We start from the raw sequence: 22113 nt of genomic DNA, 5'->3' as shown, positions 1-22113 counted from the left end.
GAATTTTTTTTAGTAATGCATAAAATAAATACAAAGTCAAGTTGTGCTTATTAGCCATGGGATTCCTATCATGAATATTATCTACGGTAAATAATACAGTAAGTGTTAAACTTTTGAACACCAATAATCATGAGAGAAAAAGCTCTGGCAAAACTGCATGTGACAAATCGAATTCGAATGGCTGGCTTCCACATTTCTTACATAATTTGAAGAATATAAGTAAAACAATCTGTTAATACCAAATAAGAACATTTGTCTAAAAATGTTTCTTCAGTTATAGCTCCTGAAGAGTGGGTAATAAGGTTTGCTAATCTTAGTAGTTATTGAAAAATTTGCCAATTTCTTTTCTTTGTATGTATACACACCATATATCATTTTCTAAAAATGCAAAAGTATATTAGACATGATATTGAGGGATTCTATGCATTTTTGTCCATTTGTACACGGTTTTCCATTCCCTCTATCTATCTACACCTAAAAATTTTATCTTATATTCATTGGCTATGTGAGTTTTGTTTTATATGTCATTACTTCACTACATTCACTGAATCTCCAGGGCGTCATAGAATAATAATTGGTTTGATTGAAATGGTTTAGTGCCTTAACTTTTAACATTATAGTCTACACACCTTTTTGGGAGGTGGGGGGAAAGATAGGGTCTCACTTTGTCACCCAGACTGGGGTGAGGTTGTGCTAGCGTAGGCTCACTGCAGCATCAAAGTCCTGGGCACAAGGAATTAGCCCCCCTTAGCCTGCAAATAGCTGGAACTAAAGGCATGCACCACCATGCTTGGTTGTTTTATTGTTTTCTTTTTTTTTTTTTTCTTTTTGTAGAGACAGGGTCTCCACTCTGTTGCCCAGGCTGGCCTCCAACTCCTGACCTAAAGTCATCCTCCCACCTGGGACTCTCAAAGCACTGGGATTATAGGCATGAGCCACCATGCCCAGCCTATGCAGCATTTTTGACAATATTTACTAAATTCAAGTATCTTACAAACATACCTGTTTTATTTGGAAATTTAAACATTTTACCCACTGCTTGTCAAAATTCATAAATGATCATATGCTTTATTTCTTAAATTTGTTGGTAATTATGTTGGCAGTTTTTTTATATTGAGAGAGTCTCGTCTTCTTGCTATCAACCCTCCTTGGCTGTAGAGTACATTTTTTCTTTGATAAATTGGCTAGGTTCTTTTTTACTAATTGTTTGTTTAGATTTTTCTGTTAGAATCTCTGTGTGAAATATTATAACCTTTTTTTTCTTTTTAAAAAGCTTAATTATAGCAGGGATGGCTAGCTTTGCTTATTTCACTTTAAAATTGCCTAAAACTTAGTAAGACTCATTCTTCTGATAATTTTGTCTCAATTCATGGTATCTCTTCTTGTATTTGTTTACTTAAGCTTCTGTCATGTTTTTTCTTACGTAAGTCCAACTTTTGCCGGTTATTTTTATTTCATCTACTCTCCAAATGGCTAGTTGTTTGTTTGTTTATTATAACTTGCACTTCTGTGCTTTGACACATTTATTCTATAAGATCTTCTATACCTCTGTTATAGCATCCTTCAGTTTACCTACTGAAACATTTAATTGGAAAATCATGTGATTTTCCAGAAAGTATGTGTGATTGGGGTGCACTTGAATTTTCCTAAGAGTTCTTATTATTTGTTTGTTCAAGTATGTTCTGTCTCCTGCAGCAACTCTATTTTGCTGTCATGAGATCTGTTTGTGCTGACTGATCCTCTCTCTGGCTGTTAGAACCCCTGTTTGTTATTTTCTTTATTAGCCCTTAGATCTGGTGGTGGGGGTAAACAACTGCAAGCAGGCAGACTACTCTCTACAACACTGAGCCAGTGGTGCACGAGCAGAAGGGCTGCCAGCACCCACTGCGGAGGAGCAGGATGAAGCCTTCCTGTTCCCAGGTCTCCAGGCATATACTCAACCTCAGGAGCAGAGGACCTAATTAGGAGCTGAATTAGGTCCCTAAGGTCATACTGACTGGAGAAATTTTTACCAATGTCAAATTTCCTTCTAAGAATCTAAGAGTCTCTGTGTGATAGGTTCTTCCAAGAATCTGGAAACTCTCCTTCAGCCCAAGGAGGAAAGAGTCCTTATCTGTTCTTTCCATAAAGATCTTCAAGCCTATTCTCTCACTGATTCCAGTGGCAATTTGATTTAGAAAAGACAGACAGATTGTCAGGAATTTGAATAGAAGGTGTAGAGAGCCGAATTTATTAGTTTTCTAGAGCTGCTGTGACAAAGTATGACAGACTGGGTGGCTTAAACAACAGAAATTTACTGCCTCACATTTCCGGAGGTTAAAAGTCCAAAGTCAAGGCAATGGCAGAGTTGGTTACCTCTGAGGACTGTGAAGGGAGTGTCTGTTCCAGTCCTCTTGCCTTGGCTTGCAGATGGCCATCGTCTACTCTCTTTTTATCACCTTCCCTTTATGCTTGTCTATCTCTGTGTCCAAATTTCCTCTTTATATAAGGACATCAGTCATAATGGATTAGGGCGCACCATAATGACCTCGTTTTAACTTGATTACATCTATAGAGAACCTATCTCCAAATAAGGTCACATGACATACCCCTGGTTAGGGCTCCAGCACATCTCTTTTGGGAGGACAAAATTCAACCTATAATGGCCATATTTAGGTAAACTGTCTACCCTGAATACTCTATTGTATGTATTAAATAAGTTCTAGATTGTTTGGTCATGGTCGTATATGCTATAAAAGTGGGTAAATTGCAGAACAACATTCTGGAGGTAGATGAAATAATAAAGGGACTCTAGCCTGAAGGGCTATGCAGGAGGAACTGCTGGGGTCATGGAAACAAACAGAACATTGTCACAAGCAACTCTAGAATTTCACACATACATCGTATTGACACATTACCAGCTGAGAAACAAATGAGGATTTTCATAAAACACTAAAAGGTATTATACCTACAACAAAAGTATCTCCTCTATAAACCACCTCTTGGGTAATTTATTTGCATTTTCACTTCAGTGAAAAATAATCACATAATATTCCCATTTTAAAATTTAAAATAATAATAAAGCAAAAAAAGTGGCTTAATGGCTAGTCATTGTCTAATCACTCAAGAATCACGTGGGACGCTCTCCAGGAAAACAACACATAGCATTCCAAATACATTTAGCCATAGAAAAAAGGAACTACAGAGAGAATAATAATATGTTTTAGTTTGAAGACTTATATGATTTAGTAAATCATTTTAAACAATGCCATTTTTCATTTCATGAACAAAAATAATTTCTCAGTGTTTGTGAATATGTGTGTATGAGACAGTTAAACAGACTTTTAAAAAGGAATATTCTGAAATATACCCCTCAAAAAGATTTTTAAATGTTTTCAATTTAAAAGAAAATAGATAATTTTTGAGGACTAAGCTCTGATTTTTTTATTTTACACAAATTCCTCCCTAAGGGGTCTAAGGAGTCATGCCCTACAAACAATTTTCATCAGATGGGTTTTTTTGACCCTATATATTATGACTTACTTCTCAATCTGACTCTGGCATAACATTATGAGACAAAGAAAAAATATTTAACCCCAAAATATATTTCCTTACCCTACCTTCATTGTCCTTCAAGGTCTCTTGCAGGAAAATCCACATTCTATAGAGAATCCCCTTTCCCCTTCGTTTTCCTTCCTTTCCTCCTATCCAGGAGATAATCAACTAAGAGCCAGGCACCCTTTTAAGTCCCATTAAGAAACAATTTACAACCTGCTCTCTCTGAAGTCCGCTATCTGGGAGCTTCCTCTGCACAATAAAACTTGGTCTCCAAAATCCTTTATCTTTAACCTGAACATTCCTTTATATCGATCCCAGGTCTTTAGACAAACTCAACCAATTGTCAACCAGAAAATGTTTAAATTTACCTATAGCCTGGAAGCCCCCGCTTTGATTTGTCCCACCTTTCTGAACCAAACCAATGTATTTCTTAAATGTGTTTGATTGATGTCTCATGCCTTCTTAAAATTTATAAAACCAAGCTGTTCCCCAACCACCTTGCGCACATGTTCTCAGGACCTCCCGAGGGCTGTGTCACAGGCTGTGGTCACTCATATTTGGCTCAGAATAAACCTCTTAAAATATTTCACAGAATTTGATTCTTTTTGTCAACATTTTCTATTGTCAGCAAAATACAGAATAATGGTCTCACCACTATTAGATTAATTGGTCTTATATCATACATATTATACATATTTGGCCTAATAGAATGGCTGAGTACCCCATTGAAGGTTCAGCAAATATCCTGGCTTTAGGACAACAGCCTGTGGCTGTGCAGTAGTGTTCTCCATGATGCAGTACATTCCCGAAATCAACTGCCAATGTATGGGGCTGAATTGTGTTTCCCCAAACATTCATATGCTGAAGCCTTAACCTTCAGGACCTCAGAATGCTACTGTATTTGGAGGTAGGGTTTTTAAAGAGGTAATAAAGTTAAAATGAAGCCCTTAGGATGGGCCCTTATCCAATCTGATTGGCGTCCTTATAAGAAGAGGAGATTAGGACCCACAGGGAGAAAGCAGAGATGTGGATGCACAGAGGAAAGACCACAGTGAGGCGAGGTGAGAAGGTGGCCATCTGCAAGCCAAGGAGAAAGGCCTCAGAAGAAATCAAACCTGCTGGCACCTTGATCTTGGACTTCTAACCTCCAGAACTTAGGAAAATAAATTTCAGTTGTTGAAGCCACCCAGTCTGTGGTATTTTGTTTTGGCAGTCCTAGCAAATGAATACAGACACCAATGCTGGGAACATATGAGTTCAGGAACCTAGGAGTACAAGTAGGATCAAACTTTCTCATTTCGACCTCCACTTATTTAGAGAGTTTGTGCTTCCTCACTTCATAACCTTTGTCTCTAATAGGCAATAGTTTCTGGTGTCAAGGGAAAACTCATCTGTTAGAGATACAGGAAGAGTTCCATTGAACTAGAAACTACATGTACCATCTGGCCAACTACCATGCCTTTATCATGCCAGTGGATCTGCAGACAAAAAAAAAAAGTCATTTCACTTCAGCAGCCATGTAGCCATGGTAATCAGCATTGATTAAAATCGGAAGCTAAGATTTCTGCTATACAATACAATTTACAGTATCTATTTGGGAATCCAGGAGATCCAATGCATTGTCTCTTGGTTGTTTCATGCCTAGAGATTAGAGATAAGTTGGCAAATTCACCAAACATGACTGAACAAAGACAAAGTAACCAAGGTTTCACATCCTTCAGGATTAAAAGTTTACATCACTCCAACAGGGGAGCAATTTACTAGCTGAAGTACTGGGGCAGAATCTCAAATTGTACGGCACATAAACCGGGTCTGGTGTCTTTGATATGCCTTCCAACAACTTACCTAAATTTTACACTGTATTATCACTTACCTCCTCATAGAGTGCACTCTATTATTCTGGCTTCACATTTTTCTAAATTCCTAAAATCCATACTATCTGAACCAAGCATATTAGCTGTTGGTTAGATATTGCCTCGAATGTTTTTGTTTGTTTTGTTTTGGTCTTTACTATTTGGGTATATAAGTATGATTTCTCCAATAATATTTTAAACTCTAGAAACAATATTTTTAAAGTTTGGAATCTCGAGTCAACAGATAATATAGGGGTTATTATACAGTAAAGTATTCAATACAGCTACTTATCAATCAATTGACACAAACAATGACACTTTCTTTATGTGGAATTCTCTGTTTTCTACAGTGTATTTCATTGTGTAGTTATGATTCACTCATGTTGAAATAAGTAGCTGAATTATATCCATTTTAATGGTTGTATAATATTCTTCTACATCGACATACTTCACTCATTTACTTACTTATTGTTTCTTTGTTTATTGGTAGACATTTCATTTATTTCAAGCCAACTTTCCATTAAAAACTATGAACATTCTTGTACATTCTTCCTGTTGTACCAATGCCAGATTATTTTCTAGGATATATAATTAAGATTAGCATTCTTGATTATAGTTAATGTAGAGAAAACTTGTTTTTTAAAATGGGTGTACATTTTCATTAGCCCTATATAAGTTTTTGTTGATCCACACTCATGCAACAATTGGTATTACAATTACACACTTGTCAATATGTCGGCTCTAAAATTGTGCCCATAATTTAATTTGTATTCCTTAATTACAAATAAAGTTTAACATCTTTATTTTTTTATTTTTCTGAGACAAAGTCTCACTCTGTCACCCACGCTGGAGTTCAGTGGTGCAATCTGAGCTCAATTCAACCTCCACCTCCTGGGTTCAAGCAATTCTTGTGCCTCAGCCTTTGGAGTAGCTGGAGTTACAGGTGCACACTACCACACCCAGCTAATTTTTATTTTTGTATTTTTAGTAGAGACAGGGTTTCACTATGTTGGCCAAGCTGGTATCAAACTCCTGACCTCAAGTGATCTGCCTGCCTCAGCCTCCCAAAGTACTGGGATTACAGGCGTGAGCCACCATGCCCGGCCAAAGTCTAACATCTTTAATTATACAAACACCTATTTTGTATTTTTAAATTCCTGTTAATGCAATATTTCCACATTTGTCTTTTATTAGATTGTCACTCTTCTTTTTTCATTTTTTAGGAAATGCCCTGGCTATCAATATTTGACTATCATATTATTTTCCAAACTTGAGTATTCAATACTATTTATTTGCTGCTTCTCTTTTTTCTGCTTTTTTATTATTGTGAGAAATTTTGCTAATTTAAACCCTGTTGAAAAACATTTCGCTTTTATAATGATCTATTTTATCTTTGTTTTCTACTTTATTAATTACTTATTCTCTTATGTGTATTTACTTCCTTGTATATTTATGAGATTTATTGAGCTGTTCATGACCGCATCTTAATTTCTATGTGTGCATCATTAATTTTCCGACTTTAAGACAATTTAGGGATACCCGTTTGTTTTTAATCACAGTTTTAGAGGCCTTCGGTATGTAGTATTCTTATTACCTTAAGTTATAAATATTTCCTAATTTGCATTATATAATTATTCATTTTAACTTTATTCAATTTCAATTTTAAATTCATTCTCTGAGATGATAGCACATTTTAAAATTAGCTGAAATTTGTTTATCGTCTATATGTTCAAATTCTATAATTTGAGCATCTATATGCTTAATGTATGCTTAAAAAGAATGCTTATTATGGGCTGGGTCCGGTGGCCCAGGCCTGTAATCCCAACACTTTGGGAGGCCAAGGTGGATAGCTTGAGGCCAGGAGTTCAAGATCAGCCTGTGCAACATAGCAAGAGACCCATCTCTACAAAAAATAAAACAAAAAACATTAATCCGGCATGGTGGCACATGTCTGTAGTCCTAGCTACTCAGGAGTCTGAGGTGGGAGGATCTCTTGAGCCCAGAAGTTCAAGGCTGCTGCAAACTATTGTCATGCCACTGCACTCAAGCCTGGGTGACACAGAGACCCTTGTCTCAAAAAAAAAAAATGCTTATTACAAAATTGTGGTTGTATTGTTGTTTAACTATTCTCATTAATCAAATTTGTTAATCATATATATTTTTCAAAATTAATGTCCTAATTCATATCATAAAAGCTATGGAATAGCATATGAAAATGCCCTGCTATAGTGCTAGATTTATCCTTTTGATTTTTTGGCTTTACATGTTTCGAGGCTATATTATTAGATGTATGCAAATTTAGAAATTTCCTATCCATTTGGTAAAACTTTATTCATTATATAAAGATGCTTTTTGTGGGTTCGTGTGTAAATACGTTAATTTCTTTACTTTGCTTAATATTTTATTTTACTTTTGCAGGGTTCAGCATTTACCTGATGTGTTTTCCTCTCTTTTTACTTTTATGCTTCTAAATATCCTTTGGTTTATACTTGACTCTTATAAACTGTATATAGCTGTTATTCATTATTTTTATTCTTTTAAAATAATAAAAGCTGCTCTCCTCTGTAGCAGCTTTTGAGATGTCTTTGTCATTAGCATTATGCAGTCTAGCCTAGTCAGTCTGTAAGCTTTGACTGTTAATTTCTAACATTAAAAACTATCACATATATAAGTATTTTACAAGAAATACTATCAGTCTAGGCTAGACTGCATACGCGGTTTAGTATTACGCAGTCTAGCTGTAGTTTTTCTCCATTGTCCTGCTGGAATAATTTTCACTTCCATAATATGAAAATTCATATCTAATCGTTTTGATAAAACTTTCAGTTATTGTCTCTTCATATTTTACGTATCACCATTTAATTTATATTTTTTCTTAATATGCATCTAATTTTTGCTAGAAATCATGAATCTCTTCTCCATGTCTTTAAACGTCTTCTCCATGTCTTTAAGCCTGTTTTTGTAAATATCTTTGACTCTGTATGGTTAATATTGTATAATTTTCAGATGTATCTTTTTCTTTTTTCTTTTTCTTTCTTTTTTTTTTTTTTTTTTGAGATGGAGTCTCGCTCTGTCACCCAAGCTGGAGTGCAGTGGCACTATCTCGGCTCACTGCAACCTCTGCCTCCCTGGTTCAAGCGATTCTCCTGCCTCAGCCTCCTGAGTAGCTGGGACTAAAGGTGTCTGCCACCAAGCCTGGCTAATTTTTTTTTTTGTATTTTTAGTAGAGATGAGGTTTCACCATATTGGCCAGGCTGGTCTTGAACTCCTGACCTTGTGATCCGCCCACCTTCGCCTCCCAAAGTGCTGGAATTACAGGCTTGAGCCACCGCACCCAGCCCCAGATGTATCTTTTAACCCACTTATTATCTTCCAGCATGCTTAATCTGCTGTTAAAAATATCCATAATTTTTAAATTCTAGCTACAATAATTTTCATTTCTACATAGTTTCCTGGTTATTTAAAAAATCTAACTGACCAATTTTATAGTGCCAGCCATATTTTTATTCTTCTAACAAACACACTTACTTTATATTCTCTAGCCACTTATTCCAACATCTACAATCTTTATACTTCAAACTCTGTTTTACCTGCTTTGTTGACTCAAATTCATAGCTTGTTTCTTCATGTGTTCTGTTTTTGATACTGAGCATATGTTCTTTGGAACTTTCTCTGTGGGAATTCTTCCCTTCAGACTTGAACTTAAGATATAGTCCTCCAGGGAGAATTATGGTTGTTTCTACCAGATTTCTGGGACATTAAAATCACAGCACCAGTTAAATACATATTTGTAACCTGGTGTTTCTGTGGCCATAGGTGGTGTTAATTCTGGCTCAAAAACTGTATATGTTTTTGGTAAATGACATTTTAGCGAGATTTTGCTGGCCTCATTCAGAGCTAAAGCTGAGACAGACAAGTTTCCTTCTTTCCTTTGGGATATAAATAGTTTTTCTAGATTGTGTCCTGTGGTTATTCACTCCAGGGATTGCTGGTTTTAAAAGACATAGTGTTTAGGGCTTTGTTTGGGCTGTAGTCATTGCTCCAATTCTGCGGGCCTCGAGTTAAAATGGAAGCTCTAGTCGAAGAGAGATCAGTTGTTTCCCCTTGGGCACCCTTCAGCTTCAGTCCTCACTTCTTTTTTTGCTTCATTCCTTTTCAATAGTTTGGTCCTGTGGGTATTTTTTATTATTTATCTGTGAAATCTCAGCTAGGTATTTAGTTTTTTTTTTAAATAATATATTTCCAGTACTTTAGACATTTTGATTATGGGCACCTTTTTTAGGATATATACTCTGGCAAAAATACTATAAACATTAGTTAAGAAAATGAGATTTTGGAAGAAGCTGGAAGTGATAATGGTCTTATAAAACACTTACATATGTGATAGTTGTTATGTTAGAAATTAATAGTCAAAACTCAGAAAATGTATTAACTGTACAAATTAACTGATTATAATTTTTTTCTATAGAGGTAAATTATTAATTCTGTAGCATATCATTAGATACTGTGATGATACCATATGCAGCCTACTTGTTATCCAGTTAAAATGCTATAATAGGTAAGTTCTTAACGTTTCTTTTTAGTGTGGTTCTGACCAAAGCTGTGGACATCAATAGATGCATTATTAACATGTTATCTTCCAATGTAATGGAATTGCCATATTTAGACTTCAAAAAAGTCTAAGCTATTGCCCAAGCCTGAGTCAGACTCCTCTGAGTCTTCTTTCTGACTAGGCCCTGACCTTGGGCTTTGTCCTTAGTTCCAGTGGCTCTGCCTGTTTAGAGCACTTTTAGCAAGAATCTTGCTGGGCTAGTCTAGTGAAAATCCCCTGCCCTTACATAAACACCCTTGATATCTGATCAAATTCCTTATTCCTTACCCTCAATATCTTGTCATGCTGGTTTACCTTCAATAAAAATCCTGTCAAGTCAGTGTAAGAAGAATCCCCTTATCCCTGATGTTTTCTCTTAGTAACTTTTCATTCACCAGCCCCTACTCCTTGACCATAGATTCGCACTTGTTCCTCTTGTAATCAGAGTCAAGACCAATGTCTCTACCACACTATAAGACCCATTGCAACAATCCCTATACCTATTGCAATATTCTCCCTTGAATAAGCTCTTCCATATTGTCTCTAAAGAGTGTCTTGAATATTTTTTAACATGTTACAATTGTAAAAATTCTAGTATAATGGATAATATTAACTTATTTTTCATAAACAAGGCACTCTCCTGAGGCAGGAGAATCATCTGAACCTGGGAGGCACATGTCTCAGTGAGCTGAGATCGCACCACTGCACTCCAGCCTGGGCAACACAGTAATACTCTGTATCAAAAATAAATAAATAAATAAAGTGCTCTTAGAGTGAACTGAGGGCACACATAAAAACTCCAAAGTTGCTTTTCGATCGCCAAAGAAAACACACTACAACCTAGAGATCTTAAATAATTTTATGAAGAGAGAATGGGTTAAAAAGCTTAGTAAGCATGGAATTTAAAAAAGGGTTAACCAAAGAACAAAGAATATTTATGCACTCAATCATTGATTTAAAGTATATTTACCGACCACTTACCACATGCCAGACACTGTTAGACACAAACATGTATTTTCCTCATCTTCATGGAGTATTCAAACAAGGGCAAACATCAAATTATATTTCATCTGTGAAGAAAAAAACACCATGAATTAAAAGTAAAGGGGAAATTTTGTTATATATTGTGCTCAAGAAAGAAACTGATAGCCGTACTGTGAGTTAAAGGCTGAAAGGTAACCAAAGATAGAAAGCCCAAGAGGACAGGTGTTTAAAGTAGACAAATTCTGAGAAAAGAAACAGCTCATGTGACTGATACATAGTGGGGAAAAGGGAAACCAGTAAAGAAAAAAAAAGTCTAAGCAATTTTGAGCAAGAAGAACAAAGCTGACGGTATCACACTCCCTGATTTGAACATGTATTACAAAACTAGTTATTGAAACAAGGCACTGGCATAAAAACACACATACAGACCAGTTGAGTAGAACAGAGAGCCCATAAATAAACCGATGCATATAAGGTCAACTGATCTTCCACAAAGGTGCCAAGAATACACAATGAGGGAAAGATAGTCTGTTCAATGAATGGTTTTGGAAAAATCAAAATTCAACACACAAAAAAATGAAATTGGACTTGATCTCCCGCTATATGCAAAAATCAACTCAATATGGATTAAAGGCTTAACTGTAAAACATAAAACAATACAAGTCCTGGAAGAAAACATTGGAGAAAATCTTCTACAAATTAGACTGGGCAATGATTTCTTGGATATGACACTAAAGCACAGGAAAAAAAAAGCAGGGATAAACAAGTGGGATTACATCTAATGAAAAAGCTTCTGCACAGCAAAGGAAGCAGTTAGCAAAATGAAAAAGTAAATTATAGAATGAGAGTAAATATTTGCAGACCACGTATCTGAAAAGTGGTTAATATCTAAAATGTATAATAAACTCAAACAACTCAATAGCAATAAAACAACCCAAACAAAAAATGGACAAGGGAACTGAATAGACATTTCTCAAAAGAAGACATAAAACAGCCAATAAGTATATGAAAAATGGCTTTTACCAGTCATCAGGAAAATACAAATTAAAACCACAATGAGATATCAGCTCATATTTGTTAAGTTGGCTATTATCAAAAAACAAAGGGCATGTGTTGGCTAGGATGTAGAGAAAAGAGAACACTTTACACTGTTGATGGGAATGTAAATTGGTAAAGCCACTATGGAAAACAAGATGAAGATTACTCAAACATTAAAACTAAAATTACCATTTGATCCAGAAATCCTACTTCTGAGTGCATATCTAAAGGAATTGAAATTAGTTTGTTGAAGAGATATCTGCACTTCCATGTTCACTGCAACATTATTCACAGTAGTCAAGATATGGAAACAACCTCTGTGTCCATTGGTGGATGAATGGATAAAGAAATCAGTTGTGACACCATGACTCATGGTAATATATATACACGCAGGAAAGTTATTTAGCCTTAAAAAAAGAAGAAAACCTGAACATTTGTGACATCATGAATGGACCTGAAGGACATTATGTTAAGAGAAATAAGCCAGTCAACAGAAGGATAAATACTATATGATCTCACGTATATGTGGAGTCTAAAACAGTCAAACTCACAGAAACAGAGTAAAGGGTTGGTTATCAGAGGATAGGGGAGGAGTAAACTGGGGAAGGATTGGACAAAAGGTCTAAAGTTTCAGTTATACAAGACAAAAAATTTTTGAATATCTCCTGCACAGCAAAGGGCCTATGATTAACAATGCTGTATTGTATACTTTAAAATTTGTTAAGAAGATAAATCTTACGTTAAATGCTCTTACCACAGAAAGAAAAAACAAAACAATCAAAAGAGTGGGAGAAAACTTTGGGAGGTCATGGATAGGATTATAGCATTGATTGTGTTGACGGTTTCAAAGGTGTATTCTTATCTCCGAACACATTAAGATGTATACGTTAAATATCTACAGCTTTTTGAACATCGATCATCTCTTAATAAATATTTTTTTAAATAAATAAGCAAAATAAATTTTCTGTGGATTTTACAATAAATTACTCATTTAAATATTCTGAAAAGTTAAAACTGTCTACAAAATGTACAAAAAATAAATACAATTTCACATTTAAAAAAATGAGGCTCAGGAGATTACCAACGGGATAGTATTCAGAGTCTCGTGAGTTATAAAAGGGAGTATGAATTCAATTTGTTGCATTGGAAATAAAGGGCTTTGGGAATAGAAGTAGCATCGTTTGATTTACTTTAAAAAACTTAATATTTACAATGGAACTTTAATTAGATTAGCAGGAGAAACAATTAGGAAGCTGTTGCTGAGATTCATGTACAAAATTGTGTAGCCTAGACAAGCAAATGTAAATAAATTATTGGATATTCTCCCTCTATTCAAAATAGAGGGTCACCAAATCAACTAATAACATTTCATGATTATTCTAGTGTTCTCAGTAGGTCAATCCTTATGCAGAAGGTAAGTTCACTAGGCTCATATTCAGTGACAATATGTAAGCCTGCCATAGGGCTAATTATTCTCTACTAGATTTATATTAAATAAGCAACTTTCTGATTGATTCCTAAATTAAAACTTTATTTCAACCTTAGGGAGTGTTAATTCAAAGATGTCAATATTCTAATTATTTCAAAAGTAACATTACTTTTGGTAAGTGTTTAAACTGGCATTTTGATCTGTATATCAACTTTTGATGAGATGGTTAGAATGATTCAATGCTACTGAATCCAATCAACTCTCAGTAAACTAGCACTAATTCTATACTACATTGACTTAAAGAGTATATGGGGCTTTTATTAAATAGCAAAGCATCTCAACAATATGTGTAAAATATCCCAGGTTTTAGATCATTGGTAGTAACAACTGAGGAAATGTAAAAAAGCTAACTAAATAAAAGAGGCACCTTTATCATTATACTGAAATTGATCTTTCTGTTGCTTAGGCAATGTACACATATTTTGAAAAAATAGAATAAATGTGCCTTAAAAATAGCTCCATGGTAGTGAACAAAAGAAAACTAGACAATGAACCAAAAGCCCCAGATTGAAATTTGATACCTTCTGCTTACTGGATATGAGGGCTTGTAACCGTCACTTAACCACACTGGTCTACAATTGCTTTCTCTTGAAAAGTAAGTATTAAGCATGATGAAGATCGATATCCCATTAAGCTCCGAAGTCCCATGTCCTATATAATGTGAAGTAGAATCCATTAGTGCAAGAAAGCAATAATAAAGGCCACGAAAGGTAAAGCTGAGATGTGGCCATGTCACAATCCAGCACAGTTGTATATGAATGGGCTGATCATCTAATCGTCAGCCACAGAAGGTTCCCCCTACCCCAAAAACACATTCACTCGCCTACCCATTCAATCAGTACTATTACTCTGAAAAGAGTACGATTTACAAGACAGCTACCAAAAATATGTAGATGCATAATATTCTGTTTGACCTTATAGAAATTAAAACAAACAATATAAATATCCCTCAACAAAAATACACTAGAAAATTAAACATCAAACGTTAACTGAAAGAAACAGAGCACCACAATCACTCAATTTTAAATATACCTAATTAGTCTAGTTCCCAATGCACTGTAACAACTTCCTTCATTTACTAATAGAGAAAATACATATTGTGTTTCCAATGTGATAATTAATGCACCCAACGAATACTGAGTATCTATTATATGCTAAGTGTTGTGCTAAATAGTGGCCATTGTCCTCACTCTAGTGAAAAAGTCAAACAAATAAATGAGGAGGATGATAACAAAGAGTGACAAGTAATTTGAAGACAATAATTATGGTGTTATGAAAAATGAGTATTACGAGGATTCCAGCCATTCTTTCATATGAACTTTATATTTAAAAAGGATTAGATCCATACTAATTTCATATCCGTACTAATTTTATAAAGTATATTTCTATGTTTTATGTTAACTACAAGTTGAAATAGTTAAAATTATCCTGGCTTTTAAGCCATTGTGTAATTTAATTTTCCAGATTACTCTAAAGAGAGTTTTAATATTATCTATTAATTTACTGACTTAAACATACATTGTCTCCATCAAGCCAGAGAATAAATCTGCAAGATCATTTAATCTAATTTTCTCAATAAATATACTTTAAATATATATATATATATAAAGATATTTTTTAAAGAGGATACCTTTTCTCAAAGTACCCAGTCAGTGGTTAAGCAGAGCAAGGAATCCACGTATTCTTGAAATAAAGTTTTGAAGTTTTTTAATGCGTACGTTTTTAAACAATTATTACTGCTATTCAAAGAATCGCCAACTAAAAAGCTTTTGTGCTTAGTGAGATTTCAAAAGATTCATCGTGAATAATTAAGTTGATAAAAATGGTATGAATCTTCTCCAGGTACAAATATTCCTGGGCAGAATCAATGGTGTCCCTTATGAAACTTCTGGCAGTTTATGATTTAAATCAGAAAACCACTATGTGAAAAGAGACAAGTATAATAAAAACATCTAGAAATAAATCCAGGAAACTCTTTATTGTCACTGAATGTAAATAAAACTTTTTTACTAAAGTGTAGAGAGAGAGATTTTTCATATGAGAGGGTTGGAAGGTGGTGACTTATGCTTTCCAGTTAAACAGAGAATTTCAGGAATAACCAACGTGTCAAGATGAGGAATCATTTTTGACATGTCATTAGACTAAGTTAAGAGATGAAAGTAGGGATTTCAGAATAAATATCTGAGGAAGTTTTGGGGAAAATCTAAGATTCAAGGAATGAACATTTGATCATGGCTGATAGTAAATAAGAGCCACTATAAAGATCAAAGAAGTTTTAATTTTTAAAAAACTTCTATTACTTTGAAATACATAAACAACACAACACACACACACACACACACACACACACACACACACTTTTCTTTTCCAGTCTTCCATCCAAAACCCAAAGTAAATAAATGTGGGAGGGGAGGAAAACAGGGACAGAGAAGGAGAGGGGGAAAAGAATAGAGAAAGAGAAGGACAGAAAGCTGACATGACGGAGAAAAGATGGACCTTATAGTACCATGTGATCTAGCTGTTCTTCTCACTTAAACTTACTGTGAAGATGTAAAACGGGAAAGACCAAAAAAAAAAAAAATGGTGGGAAGCCTTGCGTCTCTAGCAGCCATCTCTTTAGACTTCACACCTTCATCTTTTTAGAACCCTTACTATTACTTAAGGAAACCCAACTTAAATCCAGTCAACAACGCTTCCTGGCCAGAAGCTGGCCAGGCTTGAGAGGATTCTAGAAGCAGCTGGTTCTTCCGTTCCACGGGCGTTCACGCACCACATTGTCTTCTCTTCCCCAGCCCTCCGCCAGGGTCTGGGTTTACTGCTGACTCTTGTATTTCGGTGTAGAGTGTAACAGACAGTGTCACATCCGAGAAGACCTAAAGTGTGCCTTTTCCCGGAAGGGAATACTAAAGGGTCCCTCCTGCGGGGTTACACTACCTAATCCACAAAACCGCTGACTTTCCCAGGTGGCTTTTTCCGCCCACCTCGCTCCAGTCGCCGTTTGGTTTGTTTGGGTTTTGTTAAAGGGTGAAGCGCTAAGCCCCGCCTACCGTCGTAAGTGGCCTGTCACTCCGTCCCGCTGTGCGGTCGTGATTGGTCGACAGGACCGGGTTGTCCGGCCCCACCCCCGCTTCCCTTTGCCGCGCTCCGGGTCTCGGGTTTTAACCCAAGGTGGAGAGCTGGATTCCGGCGGGCGGCGCTTGGAGCAGGTGGAGAGGCGTCCTCTTTCCGGCTGTTGCTGCTCTTCTTCCTCCAATCCTGGGTCTCAGTCAGGGAAGAACGAACATTCTTCCTTTGCTGCTGGAGCTTTAGAGAACTGTTGCCCAGCACCTAGGCACTTCAGACATTTCATCTCACTCATTTTTGTAATTTCACTGTAAAAATCACCTGCACATTTATAACACTGTGACTCTCCACTTCTGCTCAATGCTGAGAAGGGGTCCGCATACTGCGGGGAGCTGTCTAAGGTGCTGAAGCTTCCCAAGCATCAGTCTACACCAACACCATGCGGGGTTAGATTGTACATTTTCATTCTGTCTTTCTGGTTCCCCATGCCTTGGATAAGACTATTTTCAGGATCGTGAATATCTCTCCGTATCATGGCCCACGTGAGACACTTTCGGACATTAGTTTCGGGATTTTACTTCTGGGAAGCAGCACTGTTACTCAGGTGAGTTCGCTTGGATTTAACAGTCGGAGAACTCATTAAGCCTGTGCATTACGTTGCAACCACTTGTTATTGATGAGACCGGGAAATTTGCAATTCTATATTGACTTGTTGAAACAATCAATTTAATCGTATTGTTTTCTGTCTAAATTATTTAGCAGTCTATCTACTGAGACCTACTCATTTGCTTTTTCATTGATTAGTGCATTTTAGTAACTGGCATCTTGCGTTATTTGCAGCTGAGAAAAAAAAATTATTTTAAAAGCCTACGTTTTCCTTCTCAAATTGCTTTTAAAGTTCCCGTTTTCTAAGTGAATTATATAATTTGGGTGTTACTCTTTTTTTGAAAGTTACAAAACATTTAGTATTTAGAAACGAGACATTACTTTTTTTAATGCAGAAATACAGACCATAGTCATTTACTGATGAGAGAAACTCCAAATGTTGTTGCTATATTCAGAGGTTAAGTTAAATGAATCAAAATAAGGGCCTTGCAAGTACTATTTTCTAATGACCTAGCTCAGGTAATACATGAAGGCAAAATCATAAATAGATTATTAGATATGTTCTATGTCAGGAATAATCTTCTTGAGTAAAGTAATATTATAACAAAGCCATTAAACTATGAAATTGTTCTATGACATGTCATTTTCTTATCATGATCCTGTCATATTTGGTAGGCTTAAAAAAATAATTTAAAGAGTATAAGAGAGCTAGACAAAGGATCAGATAATTTTACCCCGTTCTTAATGAATGTGTAAAAATAAGGTACTGCTCATATAGAATTTTGACCCACCAATATAAATTTAATTTTACTGTTACAATTAATTACCATAGGATTTCCATTTTTATGGCTTGCAAGGTTTTCAAAGGAGGATTGAAGTCCAATAACTAGAGTAACTAAGTTATATGCATACTGATTTCTACTTGAAGTATTTAAATATTCTTTATTGCTATGTCGATTTTTCATCTTTGGGCTACCTTATAAAAACCAATAGTGTATCTCAAACTACCTTATAGAAAGTTATATTATTTTCATTTGCCTATATATAATAGAAACTGTGATGGTTATTATTTCTGAAATTATTGATTTTTTCCCAAAATAAGAAGTTGAACTATTTTTAACCAAAGTATTTTCAATAAAAATCATCTTGATATGATCTAGTAATTTTTGTGACTTTATTATTGTCAGAAATTTGATTTGTAATAATTAAAGCCAAGTATATGGAGCTTTTATATTTCTGAAATTATTATGTAAAGGAGTACAAACTTAATGTTAAAATATAAATTGATTATTTCTCTATATTTCTTAATGGCTTAGATGGTAAAATACATTTTTTTCAAAGAAATCAGATTAGCTTAGTTGATAGATACTTAGATTTAGGAAGCTAAAGTCAGAAACTAAAATGTTTTGGTCAATGAGGTTAAATTTGTATAATGGCAATCACTATGATATTTGTTAAAACATGTTCTGAGATAAATAATCTTCATCACTAGATTCTCTGACTTTTGTCCAATTTTGTTAAAAGTTATGAAAAAGTATTTCAAATGGATAATTGTGATTATAAGAATTTATCTTTTTTAATGTTAAATAATTTTAATTAGAAATAAATTTTATGAGAAGCCCAAAAATGTACTTCTTTGAAAAGACATACAACATACAAAAGTTTACTTCATAACTTATATTCTTCATCAAGTTTTTCTTTCTCCATTCATAAATCAAATAAATTTTTCTCTATCCATGACTAGTCTTAGATGAGAGTAGGTTATCACTCTATGAAGAACTTTAATTATATGTAAAAAATTAAGCATTTTCACTTTTAGTGATGACCCCCAAAAGAGGATTTCCTATAGAAAAAAAAAAAAAAAGGAAGCTCCCTCTACTGGAAATATTTTGTAAAATAAATGTCTTCCTGGAAATGATTCTTTATTCTCTAATTCTAGCCCTGATGTATTGAGCACAAAGGAAACAAGAAAAAAGATGAAAACAAAAGAAAGTATTGGCATTAATTCTTAACATATTTTTAAATTTCAAAACAGCTTACCAGGGCAATTTGGAGGCAACAACAACAACCAGAAACCACAGATATTTATAAGTAAATAATTCACTAGTACAGACTTTTTATGTCATAGGCTTTGAAGATTTTTTTAAAATTTTTATTGAGATACAACATACACAAAGAAAAGTGCACAAATAATACATTTCCCTCTAGATAAAGTTTTACAAAGGGAACACACCCAAGTGAAGAGACTACAGTTCAGCAAGTAGAAGTGTGACTGTCACAGAAGCACTCACCCCACCCTCTTCCTCCACCATAATCCTTTCCAAGGCACTACCTTGGCCAAAGGTAATCACTCTCCTGACTTATATAATAAGTATATCTTTTCCATTTTAGAACTTTATATAATTACTCTGAGTCTGCTTTATTTTTATAAGCATTATGTTTATATGATTTATCCATCTTGTTGCATGTAGCAATAGCTTATTCATTCTCATTGTTGTATCATATGCCATTATATGAATACATCAAAATTAACTTATCTATTGTCCTGTTGATGGGTATTTGGGTATTTCTTAGGGTTTGTTACTACTGTTATGAATATCATTGAACATCTTTTGTGGTGAATACATGTATTCATTTTGGGATCATGATGTTGAGGTCCAAGACTTTCTCTAGAAGGGGAATTGCTAAGCATAGCACAGGCATGGGTGTGTTTAACTTTAGTAGATACTGCCAGTATTCCTATGTAGTTTTATGTTTTTACACTTATATCAGTAATGTATAAGAGTTTCTGTTGCTTACTAGTACACAATTTGATCAGTGTAATGTTATCGTACTATACAAATTTTTAGTATTTCTAGTATATTTTTACAAACCTACAGATGAAACTTTAGTGCTTTCAAAAACATAAAAGCACTAAAGTATCATCTATACTTTAGTAAATAAGCATTATTAAGGCAAAAGCAGCAGAAAAAAATTTACAAAATATTTACAAAAAAGTTTTTAAAACTTTCATACTTGTTTTGGATATTGCTATTTTATGTAATAATTTTTCTATGGCTTTTGGATTTTAGTTATCATATTAATAAAATAAAGAACAAAACATCAGTGTTCAGCTTTCTTTGAAATGCAGATAAGTGATGATTATGAAGAGCTTGCAGAACAACTTCCAAAAGCAGGGAAGCAACAGAAAATATTTCATTTAAGTTGATTACTTTCTTGCCATATCATTTAATTTTTCATCTTTACAAGTTGATATCAACACAGTATTGCTACTTGAATAAATTAGGGCACATCGTGTCAAAACTTGAATGTGTGAATTTCAGATGTCATAATAATAAAAAATGTAATATTTTCTTGGTTTACTTCAAAGCCTTAGTAAAATATCTTAGCACAGAGCTTACTGGTTTTGCTTTTGGTATGTTTTGGAGGATGAGAGGAATCCTTTTTAATGTTGTCTCTATTTTTCTATGTAAGATATTGAAGAAAACTATATTTCTAGGAATACAATTTTACTATTATTATGATTTACTACATGGAGGTGTAGCAAGATTCTGTATAGTTTTAAAAAAATCTTTGCTATATATAACATTATCCTTCCCTTTTTCCCTGAAAATAGCAATAAATTGTCCCAGGTATAGAAGAATCATAGTCCAGTCAATGCCTCAAGCAATTTGCCCTGCCAATTGAAAGAACATCTTGAAAAATATTTCCTCTTCTATATAGTTTTTCTTCCCTTAAACACACAACTGTGTACTGAGGCAAGTCAATCAGCAATTATGTGTTTACTATGTAAGATTAAGCAATTTAACAAGATTTATTCACGAAATTCTGTGCACAAATTGTGCTAAGCACAATTTAGCTTTGGATGATTGAACAAATGTCACCTTTTCCATTTAGCAACTTAGAGTCTAGAATAAACGGAAAAGGGTCAAACATCAAAAGAAAAAAGTACAGATAGCAATATTTTAGGGAATATAAGGAAGCGCAACTATCAAGAAACCTTGGTACTTGTGGTGGGCCTTGTAAGATATTTGTTCAAGGGGCAAAATGATATATAAAGAGAATATTCTATGCAAAACGAATGATACAGATATATAGTATGTGATTGGGAAAAGGTGACTGTCAAATTCAGTTGAAGAATTTACAGTTCATGATTTAAAATTATATTCTACTAACAACAACTATTGAGCTAGTTACATTAATAAAACTACAAGAATATGGAGGAGTCACAGCATTGCTTCACGATGGAATATGGCTAAAATTTAGAAAGAAGTAATTTAATTATAACTGAGTAGTCATCATTACAGGAATAGTTTTATAACTTGACTCAAAATATCCCTATCGGTTCTTCTTCAGAGGTAGTGTTTACCTCAAAATTACTATTAGTCATAGGATTGGTGATAGCAATTATTTAAGAGCTATGTAAAGAAACAATGACACACTACTAGAATAAAAGTTTAATCTGATTGTTTTAGAAGTTGGAAACCATGTGAGAATTTTTCTTCAAAATATAGTTTCTTAAAAGAAATACTGAAATATAGTAGAGGATTTGGATAGTTGGAGGAAAAGAGGACATTGAATTTGGTTCGGGGTATTTTGAGGTTAAGATGCTTGCAGAAGAGCTAGGTTTCCTGGCCTCAGCTAGGAATTCAGGTATTTGCATAGATTTAATTGCCAGACAACAGATTTACAAAAGGTTATAAAGGTGAGTATACTGTGGTGCAAAGAAAGAATAGAAAATACATTTGTCAACGATGAGGATAGAACACTTGGAACAGAACATGGAAAAGTACTCAGAGATCTCTGAGCTCAGCTGTAGAGATGAGGCTTATTAGAACCAAGTGATGAAGTTGCAGATTTATCACAGTTTTATGCTATTTATCTCAAGGACCAGTTATTATTAATAGCATATATTAATATCTTTCTATCACTTATCAAGAGGACCTTAACAT

The 22113-nt window shown here is 34.5% G+C and overlaps 1 protein-coding gene and 1 long non-coding RNA gene across 8 annotated transcripts in view; one reads left to right on the top strand and one right to left on the bottom strand.

Moving 5' to 3' along the window:
- Positions 1-14172, bottom strand: part of LOC101928551 (uncharacterized) — a 44237-nt gene extending 30065 nt beyond the window's left edge. Inside the window, exons 1-2 of the long non-coding RNA NR_125900.1 lie at positions 14014-14172; positions 10963-11051 (exon numbers count right to left, since the gene is read on the bottom strand). This is a non-coding gene — a long non-coding RNA (uncharacterized LOC101928551). The remainder of the gene's footprint in view (positions 1-10962; positions 11052-14013) is intronic.
- Positions 14173-16652: 2480 nt separating this feature from the next.
- The window catches only part of GLRA3 (glycine receptor alpha 3), a 192328-nt gene continuing 186867 nt past the window's right edge, over positions 16653-22113 (top strand). For all 7 annotated transcript variants that reach the window (XR_001741329.2, XM_047416196.1, XM_047416195.1 and 4 more), the window contains exon 1: positions 16653-17159. Coding sequence is in view for 5 of the 7 variants with exons in the window: in XM_047416196.1 (XP_047272152.1) it covers positions 17089-17159 (71 nt within the window). In the remaining 2 variants the exon portion in view is untranslated. The remainder of the gene's footprint in view (positions 17160-22113) is intronic.

The sequence above is a fragment of the Homo sapiens genome, chromosome 4, assembly GCF_000001405.40.
Source record: "Homo sapiens chromosome 4, GRCh38.p14 Primary Assembly".
In the NCBI taxonomy this organism is placed as follows: Eukaryota; Metazoa; Chordata; class Mammalia; order Primates; family Hominidae; genus Homo; species Homo sapiens.
This window is presented reverse-complemented; position numbering and strand designations above follow the sequence as displayed.